The sequence below is a fragment of the Homo sapiens genome, chromosome 11 (genome assembly GCF_000001405.40).
Source record: "Homo sapiens chromosome 11, GRCh38.p14 Primary Assembly".
NCBI classification, from domain to species: Eukaryota; Metazoa; Chordata; class Mammalia; order Primates; family Hominidae; genus Homo; species Homo sapiens.
The window spans coordinates 122,751,698-122,766,444 of NC_000011.10; the positions used below are offsets into that span (position 1 = coordinate 122,751,698).

Consider the following 14,747-nt stretch of genomic DNA (forward strand, 5'->3'; position numbering starts at 1 on the left):
CTGCAGTGGACTGGGAGCCTGGCTTATTTTCCTAGAGAATCCTGGCTGACCATAGTGCTCCACTATTCATTAGAATGCTGATTTTAGGAAACTGTGCTCCACATCACATCCATCATTGTATCTCATGTTAGCTCCATCAGCCTTCTCCAGTGAGAGAAACCTCTAGATGAGTCATGGAGGTTTGATCTAGGGTGAGACCAATTGCTACAACCAAAAGTAGTCAGCTCTCCAAAGAAGAGCCACAAGTAACTAAAACTCTATGTCCTTTTGGCTGGGCTGGAATTATATAAACCTAAAGTATAAAAAAAGGGAAAATTAATTATTTTAACTTAATAAACAAAAGGTATTTGAAATTTTTATACTAAAACAGGGTTTTCATTGAAGGAATAGTATAGTCTACCTGTATAAAGCTAAACTGTCTTTTCAAACCAAATTTTCTTCCTGTCTTGCCTCGCTGTCCCTATCAATCTGGCCCCATCTAACCCCAGGCCTTCAGGGTCAACCATCCATCCCCATCCCTCCCCATCCCTTGGTACCCCTAAGATGCCAAGCACTGCCTAAGCACACTCTCTTTGAGTGTTGTCTAGTGCTATTGAGGAGATAAGACACACAAAACAATCAGAAAAAAAGTCCACATGGGAGAACATGTTATAATGTGCGAGGCCAGGTGGGCATTAAGAATGATAGGGTTATAGGGGGCGCGAGTTAGAGACAGTGAACTCAAGGGACCAGGTGCAATTTGCAGAGCTAGAAGAAGGAAAGGCATGGGTGGGACCTGGGTCACACTTGTAACAGGAATAAGGCTTCTCGCCTCAGGAAGCTCCTGCAAAATGAAGTAGCAGCTTCCTAAGCAAACAGGGCACGATGCAGCAGCAAATACAAGAAGGAGTTTGGTCTTGATCTTACGGGCAGTAGGGATCCATTTTAGTCTTTGCAGCATTGGCACATGATCCTAGTGGTATTTTGGCAGAATTATTTTCTTGGAGGTATGCATGATGGAATGAAGTATGATCCCAAGGCAGGGAGAGCCGTTGAAAGAGGCAGCTAAAATATTCTCAAGGATTATGACAGTGGGACTCGAAAGCGACTTGAGGGCAAGGTCAGTAACACAGACATCTAACCCTTGATAGTCTCCAGAGTGTGTTCCGTTATATTTTCATGTGATTCATACAAACAACCAACCTTTGAGGATAGTATTATTATTACCCTCATTTTACCGACTGAAGAGACTGAGACTCAAAGGGGCTGATGGACCTCACCTGCCCTTCTGTTTGGAACCCGTGCTAGAACCTGGGTCTTTTCTTTCCCAATCCTCTGTTCCTCCCAATACATTCAGCTGCCTCTTCTCTTATTGTTGTTGTTTTTCATATTCCTGGTAGCGCTCAGCCTAGGAAAATACATATGAATGCTCAAAAAACATCTTCAAGTATGAACACTAGAAAAAAAAAAAAAACTCGAGTTTCTGGCCAGGTGCTGTGGCTCGCGCCTGTAACCCCAGCATTTTGGGAGGCCGAGGCGGGCGGATCACCTAAGGTCAGGAGTTGAAGACCAGCCTGGCTCCTGGTCAACATGGTGAAACCCCGTCTCTACTAAAAATACAAAAATTAGATGGGTGTGGTTTCGTGTGCCTGTACTCCCAGCTACTCAGCAGGCTGAGGCAGGAGAATGGCTTGAACCTAGGAGGCAGAGGTTGCAGTGAGCCGAGATTGTGCCACTGCACTCCAGCCTGGGCAATGGAGTGAGACTCCACCTCAAAAAAAGAAAAGAAAAATCCCTGAGTTTCTTTATCTTTTTTCTTTCTTTTTTTTTTTTTTTTTGGTGATGGAGTTTCACTATTGTCGCCCAGGCTGGAGTGAAATGGCGAACTCAGCTCACTGCAACCTCCTCCTCCCGGGTTCAAGCGATTCTCCTGCCTCAGCCTCCCGAGTAGCTGGGATTACAGGCATGCACCACCACACCGGCTAATTTTGTATTTTTAGTAGAGACGGGATTTCTCCATGTTGGTCAGGCTGGTCTCGAACTCCTGATCTCAGATGATCCACCTGCCTCGGCCTCCCAAAGTGCTGGGATTACAGGCGTGAGCCACCGTGCCCGGCCAACCCTGAGTTTCTTAAAAGAAACCTGCTGCATAATTTTGAAGGATTAACATGCCTTCACCAGGGAATACTACAGTATTCCCTGCCCTATCTAAACTGTCTATCCATGAATTCAATAAATGCATTCGACAAATCAAGTGCCTTCCCTGTGAAACTCCTAGTGCAGCGATGTCCAGCCGAATGTTCTGTGATGATGGGAAGGTTTCATATCTGCACTCTCTGACATGGTAGCCACTAGCACCTGAAACATGGCCAGTGTGATGTGGAACTGAATGTTCAGTTTTATTCAGCATGTGGCTAGTGGTTAGCATTTTGGCCGCTGCACGTCTAATGGAATGGTTTTACAGTCAATAGTGAGGAGAACTCCAAAGGTTACCCTCAATTGCTAACAAAGACAAATTACAGGGGAAATGAGTCTTTTCCTAGGAAAAAGGGAGCCTGCCTTTCTGGCTTATCAATGCCACTCCAGAAGTGAAGACGGATGTTTCAGGCTTCTCTGTCTTCTGCTCAAGGAAACTGTCTTCCTGATGAGCTAAAATTGGTAACTCATTTTCCTGAAGAATCATTCTTTTGGGGTCTTTACTAGTGAACATAGAACAGTAATTGGAGGATCCCAACCTGTATTACATCTGGGAGGACATCTGGATGGTCAGTCCATGCATGAGTGGCTTGGATAGTGAGTGTCTGGTATCTTCTAGCTGGGATGAACAGCATTAGGCTTGAGGCTGCCACCTGGAAGGAGGTGCTAGAGTTTGAAATGGCTGCTTTATGTTGCATTGGGTGTTGTGAGTGTGATTCCTGCTTTGGCATCTGGCCTTGGTTCCCACTGAGGATTCTCCATGAACCCCTTACTCCCTGAAGGCTGTTCTTCATCATCAGCCCACACCTCAGCCACTCATGGTGATCTAAGGTTAAGGAAACCGCCCAACTTCCTCCCTCTGGTGGACAGAAAAAGAAGAGAATCCGCAGCACACAGAAACTCATAGGCTATCAGAGCTGGAAGGGGCCCTTGAGATCCACGTAAGCCCCTTTTCATTTTTCATGACCCCTGGAAGGTTGGAGGACTTGCCCAAGGTCATACCGCTAGTGACAGAGCAGGACTAGACCCCTGACTCTACCACCAGCTCGGTCCTCCTCCTAGAGCTGCACGATAGTCAAAAGGGGTGGAAAGAAGGCTCACGTTGGAGCGGTGGAATGGGCACTTGACACGGACTTAAATGTAAGCTCTGCGCCAAGTCACTGGGACCTTAAAGAAGCCATTGTTCTCTCTAAGCCTTGGTTCCCTCCACCATGCAATGGAGAGAAGTCAGACTACACGGTTCTCTCTTTTCATGGTTCAACGCTGAATAATCTCTGTGTGGGTTTCAATGATGCCCCAGAGCTCTTAAGCATATGTAGTGAAAGCTAATACCCACTGTCATTCTCACATTGCACGTCACCAGGAGTTCAGTTTAATACATGAGCACAAGGACGTGCAGCTCCACTCCCATCTCTCAGAGTCTCGGTTTCCCACCTCGCCCATGCAGAAGGCTCCGGTAACCCACATAGCAGTTGGCCTTTTGGCTTATAGCCTTCTGTGGAAAAGACTTGAACATTTTCTTCTATCTTATGGAAAGCGAGGATCAGGTTATCGCTTTGGCAAGCAGAGGGAACAACCGGGACAGGAGGGTGTGGCCACATGGAGTGCTGGTCTGACACCGAGGAGCTTTGCCTGGCCAGGTTCAAAAAAGCCTCCACCATGAATGAAAATGGCTCTGCAGGGAAAAGGCATGCTCTCTGCTCCTGGGTTGTACCAAAGCGGCTCTCAGCCCTGAGCTGCTTATCTCTCCCTCCCACTCTGTGAGGGAGGCCATATCAGTAAGGAGGAAGCAAGGCAGGGAGAATTGACTCATTTCGGATCCTCCTCTGAACTGGGGACAGAAGTCAAATTAGGCTTTGTCAACTCAGGCTTTGTCGACTCAGGCCCGAGGTCCGATAATTTTAAGATTGGGTATCTATTAAGATAAAAAAGAAAACTTATGGCTAAAGATAACCCTGGCATAAACATAGGTAATTAATTATAATCTGCTTTTTTCCCATACTCACTGATTAATTTGATTGTCTGTTTCCTGGGGCTTAGAGCTAATTACAGGAGTCTTTTGTACCTAAACATTGCAGTGTTCCTCTCCCCATTACCACGGAAGGCACTGAACACAGGAGTTCCTGGGCAGTTCATGAGCTGGTTATGGAAGAGGGTCAATTAATTAGGACGGAAGGAATCCATCCCGATTTAGGCATAAGCATTAACACGTGTTGGCCTAACAGGAATCAAGGCTGACTGTATTCAGGGGCAGCATTTGAGTGTGGCAATAAGAATGAACTATGAGGAAAATTCTCAAGAGCTTTTGGCCTTGACAACCATGGAGAGTTACCTAGAGCTGAATTGAGTCCTCTTTGTAGTCCAGAAATGTGAAACTGACTACATCTCGATAATTAGAGCCAGTAACTGGATTCTTACCCTTGCACATTTGTAAGCTGAAGCTTAATACTGCCTCTTTCTTTAAGCCTCAGCTTCCTGGTCTTTAAAATTTGCCTTCAAGGCCTGCCCTGAGGATTAAATAAAATATTGCTACATGAGCAAATGTGCCTAGTACAGTGCAAGATACACAGTCCTTCTTACACTGCCTTTTTTTCCTGCCTCATCCCCTCTACACCCCATTTATTTCCAGTGTCTGGTTCCTAAATGTCAGGGAAGGGGCCATTTCTGCCTCTTTCACATTACTGATGGTTCTAGCTTCTATCAAAGGCTGTGGTGCCCCAGTGTGGAGGGCTGTGGTAGGCCCTAGGGGCAGCCACTGTGGAGGAAGTCAAAGGAGGAAGTTAGACCTCAGGCAAGGAGGGCTAAGCTGTGAACAGGAACAACCCATCTCCCCTGCCATGACCATACTGCAGAGCCAAAGGCAAGCTGAGTGGTCATCTCTTAGGCTGCTCCCTATGAAGGGGGTCCTCAAGCCTCTCAGCAAATTAACACTGGACCAAAGAGGTTGCACTCGATCCAGTGGAAATTAAGAAGCACAGTCTAAGCAAAAAAGACAGAGACTCAGCATGGTAATGTGCCAAGAGCACAATTTGGGGAGTTAGGAGACCTGGCTTCCTGTCCCCATCAAATCACTTGCCTCCGCGGGTCTTAGTTCCTCATCTGTAACGTGAGAGGATTGAAGTAAGTGATCTTAGTCTCCAAGGCCTGAAATTCTGTGAGCATCGTATCCTAAATATCGTATCTTAATATATATACTATTATTCGATCTAAAATCAGAACCTAAGTATCTTTGCCTACACGCACATGCACTTACTGTCACACCAAGGGATGTCCCGATGCAGTACTGGGCATGTTACTGTAGATATTATGGACTCAACATTTGTGTTCCCCCCAAATTCATATGCTGAAATCCTTACCTCCAAGGTGATGATATCAGGAGGTTGAGTCCTCATGAACGGGATAGTCCCCTTGTGAAAGAAACCCCAGAGAGCTCTCTCCCCTTCTTTTCACTGTGTGAGGCTATAAGAAGTTGGCAGTCTGCATCCTGGAAGGGGCCCCTCCCCAGAGCTCAGTCATGCTGGCACCCTGAGCTTGGTCCGATAGCCTCCAGAACAGTGAGAAATACATTTCTATTGTCCATGAGCCACCCCAGTCTATGGCACTTTGTCGTAGAAGCACAAATGAATGAAGACAGCATATACCTGATACATCTAGATATTTCATGCTGTGTTGTGTTAAACAAATGGGCTGTATATTCTCAATCCATAGTATACAATTAATAATCACCTTTCAGTCCCTGTTTTCCTCCCTCCTAAGGCATTGAGGGAGGAGGGCTCAGGAGGGGTAAGAGTTCTGAGTGCTCAGAAGCCCAATGGGAAGACAAGACCTTCTTTTCCCTTTTTTTTTTTTTTTTTTTTTTTGAGACAGAGTCTCACTCTGTCGCCAGGCTGAAGTGCAGTGGTGCAATCTCGGCTCACTGCAACCTTCGCCTCCCAGGTTCAAGCCATTCTCCTGCCTCAACCTCCTGAGTAGCTGGGATTACAGGCGCCTGCCACCACACCCAGCTAATTTTTGTATTTTTAGTAGAGATGGGGTTCCACCATGTTGATGGTCTCTATCTCTTGACCTCATGATCCACCCGCCTCGGCCTCCCAAAGTGCTGGGATTACAGGCGTGAGCCACCGCACCAGGCCGACAAGACCTTCTTTAAACACTCAACCACTCCTTTTGAGTCGAAGCTTCCTGGGGGCCCTTCGTCTGGCAAGGGCTTAGGTGTCTTTACCAAGTGCCAAATTGCCAGATTCCCTGAGCGCTGGGAACTGAGGCCCAGAAGGAAGGCGAAGATGTGGCCGGGGGTGGGGCCGGTCTGGGGGGTATCGTAGTTGGGCCAGCAGACACACGGCTGGCTAGAGAGTTTTGGACCCCTCTCACTTCCTGGCGTGTTTGGTCAAGTCCCATTTATAATATGTAAAGTACTCCCATAAAGGGGGATGCAGTAAATAATTTCAGGAAATTGAGCGTAACCTTTCTTAGCAGCTTAGCAGTGGTGGAACGGGCAGAGTAGAATTTCCTGAGATTTCAGCTGCAGAGTAAGCCTCCAGAGCATCTGCCAGGAACTGTTTTACCAAAAGATTCCCTCCAGGAGCTTCCCAGACAGGCCTAGCCTGCTTAGAGTCGGGACAGCTGGAAAGGGCAGTCAGTGGTGGGGGCGGAGGGGGCACCCAGTGGCCGTAGAACACCGACCCTGTGCCAAACTCAGAGCTAAGCATGTCACATAACCCTAACAGCTGGTGTGAATCTCCTTTCGTTTACATATGTGGGGACTGAGATTAGATGGGTTAGGTCTGTGCGATTATAAGTAGATGCACCTGCCACTCCACGCCACTCTACTCCCTCCCTTAAGTTGCCAAGCTTTAACTCTCAGCCTAGAAGGACTTAAATCAAGTTTTAACTGATGGCAGGAGCGAAATGCAATGAATTCAGATCAGCAATTTCCACTGGTTATGGGATTGGGATCTTCCATCTCTTGCATTAAATGCCTAGGTTACCCTTTAGTGCTGAGCTTGGTCATACCAGGTCATTTCAGCCAATGCTCACTCTTCCTTTCCTATTTCACTCTTCCTGAAAAGCTAGGTGTTTTCACTTTTTATGACTCAGCACTCTAACTTTAGTGGCTTAAAACACACATTTTCCCAGTTTCTGTAGGTCAGGAGCCCAGGCATGGCTTGACTGGGTTCTCTGCTCAGTCTTACAAGATTGCAGTCAAGGTGTTGGCCAGGCCGTGTTCTCACCAGAAAGCTTGACTAAGATCCACTTATAAGCTCACCCACATTGTTGGCAGAAGTCATTTCCTTTTGGTTATATGACTGAGGGCCCCAGCTTTTTGTTGGATGTTGGCTACAAGCCACTCTCAGGTCCTAACGAGGCTGCCTGCAGTTCCTTGCCACGTGGCTGTCTTTTCATAGGCAGTCCACAACATGCTGCTTCTCCTTGGCCAGCAGGAAAGCGAGTCATTTAGAGCAGTGGTCCCCAATCTTTTTGGCACCAGGAACCGGTTTTGTGGAAGACAGTTTTTCCACTGACCCGGGTGGTGGTGTGATGGTTTGGGGATGATTCAAGTGCATTACATTTATTGTGCACTTTATTCCTATTATTATTACATTGTAATATATAATGAAATAGTGATACAACCAACTCACCATAATGTAGAATGAGTGGGAGCCCTGAGCTTGTTTTCCTGAAACTAGGTGGGACCGTCTAGTTGGAGACCCCTGACTTAGTTGGGACCATCTGTGGGTGATGGGAGACAATGACAGACTATCAGGCATTAGATTCTCCTGAGGAGCCTGCAACCTAGATCCCTTGCACGTGCAGTTCACAGTAGGGTTTGTGCTCCTGTGAGAATCTAATGCTGCCACTGATCTGATAGGAGGCAGAGCTCAGGCAGTAATGCTCACTCGCCTGCCTGCCTGCTGTGCAGCCTGGCTCCTAACAGGCCACGTACCAGTACCCATCTGTGGCTCAGGGGTTGGAGACACCTGACTTAGATGTGTCTTATGTGTGTCATAATGGAATAGCACAAGTGATTCCATCACCTTTGCCATATAGAGGTAAGTCATAGGTCTCACCTACACTTGAGGGGAGGGAATTATACAAAGGAGTGAACACCAGAAGTTAGGATTACTAAGGTGTCACCAAGGGTCTGTCTGCCACACTGATATACATATACCTTTAACATCTTCAGGAAGTTCATATTTTTAAAATTTTAACACCTACTATGTGCCAGCTACTAGAGATGCAAAGAAAACAAGAAATGGTCTCTGCTTCAAGTAGCTCATGGTCTATTGCAAAGACAGATCTTTTAAATATAATTTGGAAGGTGCTATGATACAACCGCCTGGCTGGTAAGGGTGCCCAGACAGGTAGGGACCACTTCCTGGAGGAAATGAAATGCAAGTGAGTGTTAAAGGATAGGCAGGAGCTAGCCAGGTAACTGAGGGTGGAGTTAGCCTTGCAGGAAAAGGAACCAACAGAGAAAGTTTTTTTTTTTTTTGTTATTGTTCTTTGAGATGGAGTCTTGCTCTGTCACCCAGGCTAGAGTGCAGTGGCTCAACCTTGGCTCACTGCAACCTCCGCCTCCCGGGTTCAAGCAATTCTCCTGCCTCGGCCTCCCAAGTAGCTGGGATTACAGGCATGCACCACCGCACCTGGCTAATTTTTTTGTATTTTTAGTAGAGACGGGGTTTCACCAGGTTGGCTAGGCTGGTCTTGAACTCCTGACCTTGTGATCCACCCACCTTGGCCTCCCAAAATGCTGGGATTACAGGTGTGAGCCACTGCACCCAGCCCCAGAGAAAGGTTTTAAGTGTGAGAGAAGAACCAGGGAGCAGAATGTTTGAGGGTGAAACTGAAGAAGGAGACAGATGTGAGGCCATGGAGGACTCAGCATGCCATGCTAAGGAGTCTAAACATGTTTTTGGAGATGAAGAGTTTAAAAAGTAGGATGGGATGCCTTACGTTGAATCCTGGATGGCAGCAGTGTAAACTGGAAATCTCTTTTTGTCATACCATATTCCATACCTAACTATACTGGTCATCTCTTTATACCATGAACCCCAAGACCATCCAGTTGTTTCTCTACCCTGGATTTCGGTCTCCCTGGATAACTGATAACTCTGGAAATAATGACCAGCAGGATGGGTTTGACTGCGCAGGAGTTTTTGCCATGACGGTATTTCCTTTGGTAGAATCTGACCTATAGTCTGGTTTGGAGGAGTTTCAAATCTTCACGAGAGTGTCAGTTGGCAGGGCCGAGGTGGCAGAGGAGGGTTTCTCTTAAGTGGCATCTCCCCACTCTCCTTGGAAGGTCTTCTCAAGAGTCTCATGATACTAACCCATCCTCCTGGTAGAAAGGCCTCAGCTTAGTTATCCAAGTCCGTGACTTCTTTGTGTTTACTCACATATTCTTTACCCCCATCTCTACCAACAACCAAAAATAAAAATAAAAAAATAGCCTGCCATGGTGGCACACACCTGTAGTCCTAGCTACACAGGAGGCTGACACAGGAGGATCACTTGAGGCCAGGAGGTCGAGGCTGCAGTGAGCTGTGATTATACTGATGCACTTCAGCCTGGGTGAGAGTGAGACACCAACTCCAAAAAATAAAACATAAATAAGTGTTGCTAACAAATTACTTACCAAGAAGAGTTACAGAAGAGTGACAGTGGCTCTGTCTGGTCTGCATACGTTTTCTCTGACCCACCAAAGCCGTTAGCCAGAGTCTCCTATGTAGCTTTGGGCTGAAACCGTTTCAGAAGGACTAAAAATTACCCAAGTTTAAGTATTTTTAGCTGATTCTAGTGGGTTAGAGAGAAAAGGGGGTGGAAATAAGAGAAAAAACAGCTAGTCTCTGTTGTCATCTGCAACCTGAAATCACTCTTCATTTTCATCTGTTTCTCCCAGATCCTTTTTTTTTTTTTTTTTTTTTTTTTTTTTTTGAGACAGGGTCTCACTCTGTTGCCAGGCTGGAGTACAGTGGCATGATCTCTGCTCACTGCAACCTCTGCCTCCCGGGTTAAAGCGATTCTCCTGCCTCAGCCTCCCGAGTAGCTGGGACTACAGGCATGCACCACCACGCCCAGCTAATTTTTGTATTTTTATTAGAGATGGAGTTTCACCATGTTGGCCAGGCTGGTCTCGAACTCCTGACCTCAAGTGATCCGCCCACCTCCACCTCCCAAAGTGTTGGGATTACAGGCGTGAGCCACCGCGCCTGGCCGGTTTTCGCCATTACCGTCAATGGCAAAAACCACAGTTACTTTTGCACCGACCTAATAACATCTGTGACCTCATTCTGGAATCACCGTGCCCCTGGCTTGCTGTTGTCCTTGGGTAAGACAGGCTTCTGATCCTCTGTTTCTCAGGAAATAATAATAGTTCACTGCATACAAATGAGAGAGCTTTTGAAACTTACTCCCTCCAGAGATATTCAGGTGGGCAGTGATGTTACTACTCTGCCAACTGGGGAGTAAAGGCTTCAGGGATAGCGCTAGTGACTTGATCCGAGGATCTGCGAGGAAGAAGGCAGCCCTGGCCAGCCTCTCCCCAGAGCCTGACTGTGGACACCAGCTCAGGGCTATCACTCTTCTGTTAGGATACTTCCGCTCAGCAAAAATGCACACCCTCCATTGACAGCCTAGAAGACAACAGTGGGAAATGTTGCTTTCTTCTTCTCCACGCCTGCTGAGAGTTCTCATTGACTCCCCACTTTCTTCCTGATCAAATCTAAACTCCCCTGCCTGGCTCCCAACAATCTGCGTCATGTGCGCTCTTCAGTAGACTCCTGCCACCGTCACCCGTTCCCGGATGGTTTCTACCTCTGCACCTTTCCTTATGTTATCGCCTTACCTGAGGAGGTTTTCTCTCTCCCTGAATCCCATACATTCCTTAAGACCTTACCAGATGGTTGTAGATTATTTTAGCAGAGAAAGAATCTGGGTCTTCTGGTCCCCAGTCTCAAAATATTTCTATTAGCATGGAATTTACAGACATTATTCCAGGAAAATTGCAAAGATTGATTAGATAATAATGCACAGGCATATGTGCAAAGGTTATTTGTGTTAAGTACCTAATATATGCCAAACATTGTGCTGAGCTCTTCAAATACATTATGTGATATTAATCATTATTCTACCCTGTAAGGCCGTTATTACCGCCATTTAAGAGATTGGGAAAGTGAGTTTTAGGATAATTCACTTGTCCACAGTCCCATCGCTAATGAGAGTTTTGTTCCCAAGAATGTGGTCCCTCCTGTGCCCCTGTGCAAAAACTCATTGATCTTGGGGAGCAGAAAGGCATTGTCTAGATGCTAGAGGGACACATAACAGAGGCAAAGAGAAATGTGTCTTATTATGTCACCACCCATGGTCTAATGGCTGGTTTCCCAATTACAAACTGCTGCCTCCCTACAGCAGAGGCCAGAGTTCCAGCCCCTTTTTAGCGAGAACAAAACAAGGCCTCCTATATGGGCTGCTGGGCCCTGCCACATAAAAACATCGGGAAACCTAAACAGCATTTTCCCTGCTAACCACCCCCTAAGGAGGGCTGCCTAACAGCCTCTTTATGGGTTGGAAAGCAGAGTCTTGTTGATAGGAGAGAAAGGCCTCCCCCACAGGTTGGAGGCCTTCAGCTGAAGACTTACTTAAGCCCCCAAATAGCTCAGGAAATTTTTTTTCCCTTTCTCTGATTAGCTTTATAAAAAAACCCAGAGCCTTTTTCTCCCCATTGGCTGGCCTTGGTGGTAATGTCCCCAGCAGGCTTGCTATCCCATTGATTGTGGGATGTGCAGCTCTCACACTGGACAACAGCTGAAAGCAGAGGCCATTAACCCCACCTAACTGAAAGGGTTCACCACCAGGAGACTGATTCTGAAATTGAGTCTTTGTGATCAATATATCTTTCTCCATTAGTTTCATTTCCTCTAAAGGAAATGTGTAGAGCCATTATGGTTGATATTTACTGACAGGCTTCTCTACTGCCCTCCCTCAGCCTCATGGGGAGAAGGCTAGGGGAGAGGGGGCAAGACTTCGGAGATGAGATTGTTCAGCTGAACTGCCCAGGCTCTTTGCAAGCCTATTTTACTGGCCTTGGTGATAAAAAGTAGCTGGACTTCCTTGTATGAAAGTGATAGAATAAATAATCTTATTATGTAGGAAAGAGTGACCAACTCTATCGGGTACAGAAAAGGGTGGCGTAAGTTTGAGTGTCGTTGGAAGGAGTTTGGACTCGTGGAAAAACTTTCTGAGTGCAAGGGCCATTAGGCAACCAAGAGACATTGCTGGATCTCCTATTCTTAATATCCATGAGAAGAGGAAAAATCCTTCAAAAGTCATGGATGGTCTAAAGTACAGTCTTATCTAGCCATAAGGAGAAATAGGCAGGATGGTCCTAAGATCCTTTGCAGCCAAGGAATCACTATCACTTACGGTTGTTTCTGAGGACCTCAAAACACTTTATCGATGTCACATCTTTCTCGATCTCCCTGTGGGCTTGTAATCACTTCCTTTCTGAAAACGAAAAAAACGAGAGCACCAAGTAAGAAATGACTTCCTTTGGGAAAAAGACACATACCCATGTTCCAGCTCCTGCAAGAACCTGCTAGAGCAGCTGTATGTGGCCAGTCCCTGATTTTGCTTTAGCCTGGAAGGCTTGGCTGAAATACCACTGCTTCCCCTCCTTGGCTTGCGCAGCTCTTAGCTATTCCCCCAAGGCTTCCCAACACTTACTTGACCTCTGTTGATGAAAGGTGGGACTGAATTGCGTGGATCTTATTGGCCACTGGTAGCTGAAAGAGTGACCGTATCAGAAACTGAAGTCTCAACTAACAGACAGTGGTAGATGAGAGGTGCTGTAGTACGTGAATTCAGGGAATTAGTTTGGTTACTCTACCAGCATCTTCCATCCTTGGTCACTGGAGTGCCTGGAATCAGGCTGGCTCTAATTCTGCCCATCCTCACACCCAACTGCTCTGCACACGGAGTAGACTCCATTCCTGGAACCAGCCTAAGCCAACAGAAGAGAAAAAGGAAGCATGCTGATTTTAGTGTGGGGTGGAACTGAACCTTTGCCAAAGAAAAAAGGTAGAATCCAAGAGGAATGGGTATTTAGCAAAAGCCTAGAAGCAAGTCAGTTCTGCTGCATAGAAAAAAAAAAATGTAGGGGGAAGCTATCCTTTTTAGATTAACAGGATTTTTTGTTTTATAGTCATAAAAGCCCTTTTTTTTTTTCATGTCTAGACTTGCACCCACAGAGACTAGGTTCGGTTTTATTCATTTTTGTCTTTGGAAGATAAGAAGGAAAGCCTCTGCTGATTTAGCCAAGGTAAATGTCAGGGGCACAGGCCCTAAGACAGAGAGGCAGTGAAATTTTCAATATCCTCAAGTTCCTCTAATGCCAAGAAGCCCCATTCCAGCCTGGAAGGCACCAAGGGTCTGGAGTAGAGCTCCATGATTGTGCCTAAGGAGAGGCTTATTGGCCACTTCTCACTGGGTTTCCAGGGAAGGACGGGCACTTGCGACGCTTCCCACTGAGCCCTGGGCTCAGTGCTTTGACACTGGAGAGTGGGACTCTTGCTTTGACCTGAGACTCAAGGATTCCAGCTCATCCAAGTGACTTAGAGGGTGAAGGGGAACAAAGAGTTGGCCTGGCTGCTTGCTCACACCCCTCCATGACAGGACACAGCAGGTACATTAGAAGAGGAGTGGCAACTTTTTCATGAGGTTGAGTTCCACCTCAGTGGAGGAAGAAGTTTAGCAGACTAGAAGTGGTTGATAATTAATTAACCACTCTGGCAACCACCGCCTGATGGATCTCTGGCTCTCAGCCCATTGGGTTACTGGATGCTTTGTGCCTAGCCCTTATCTCCATATAAGTCTTTTGGAAGCCTCATGCCTGGGAGCTCACGTATGTTTTAAGTCCTGGACCTGGTGCCCAGGCTGCTCCTGGGCTATGATTGTGGCTTTAGTGTCTTCACCCTCCCTTTACACAGCTTCATGTAACATAGTCTCACTCCTATGCCATTGCCTGTGGCCACTCTGCACATCATTTCCTGCTCAGCTTAAAATTGTAACAGGTTAGGCCTTACCTGAGGTATGCAGTCTCCTGTATTAATCACCCAGCGTGGCTGGTGCACTGCAGAAAAGTGATGGCCTTTCACTAGGCTGTGAAAGCTGCCTGTCCTAAGGGAAGAAGCGAAAGGAGAGGGGCAGGATAGCAGCTGTGGATACCCAGGGTCCTTCTCAGTGGAATGAGTTGAGGGAGAAGCATCTCCAAGTGAAATGGAGGCCTCCATGAGTCAAGAGCTATCATGAACTGCCTATCTTATTCTGCCAGGAATATAGACATAGTTGCCAATTAGGAGAAGCAGCACAAGTGATATAAAATAGGATATAGTGGCCGGGCGCGGTGGCTCATGCCTGTAATCCCAGCACTTTGGGAGGCTGAGGTGGGCGGATCACGAGGTCAGGAGATCGAGACCATCCTGGCTAACAGGTGAAACCCCGTCTCTACTAACTACACAAAAAATTAGCCAGGCGAGGTAGCGGGCGCCTGTAGTCCCAGCTACTCCAGAGGC

General features: G+C 46.8%; 1 protein-coding gene across 2 annotated transcripts in view, besides 1 other annotated feature; it reads left to right on the plus strand.

Annotated features, from left to right (window-relative positions):
- The window catches only part of UBASH3B (ubiquitin associated and SH3 domain containing B), a 158,752-nt gene that overhangs the window by 95,976 nt on the left and 48,029 nt on the right, over positions 1 to 14,747 (plus strand). The gene's annotated exons all lie outside the window — the stretch shown is intronic.
- Positions 3,572 to 3,725: a silencer, noted in NCBI's record as "fragment chr11:122625977-122626130 (GRCh37/hg19 assembly coordinates)". NCBI's record gives its function as "represses an EF-1alpha promoter that drives an FKBP-Casp9 reporter gene in an ReSE screen in HepG2 liver carcinoma cells {active_cell/tissue: HepG2}" and the evidence as "EXISTENCE:reporter gene assay evidence [ECO:0000049][PMID:32094911]".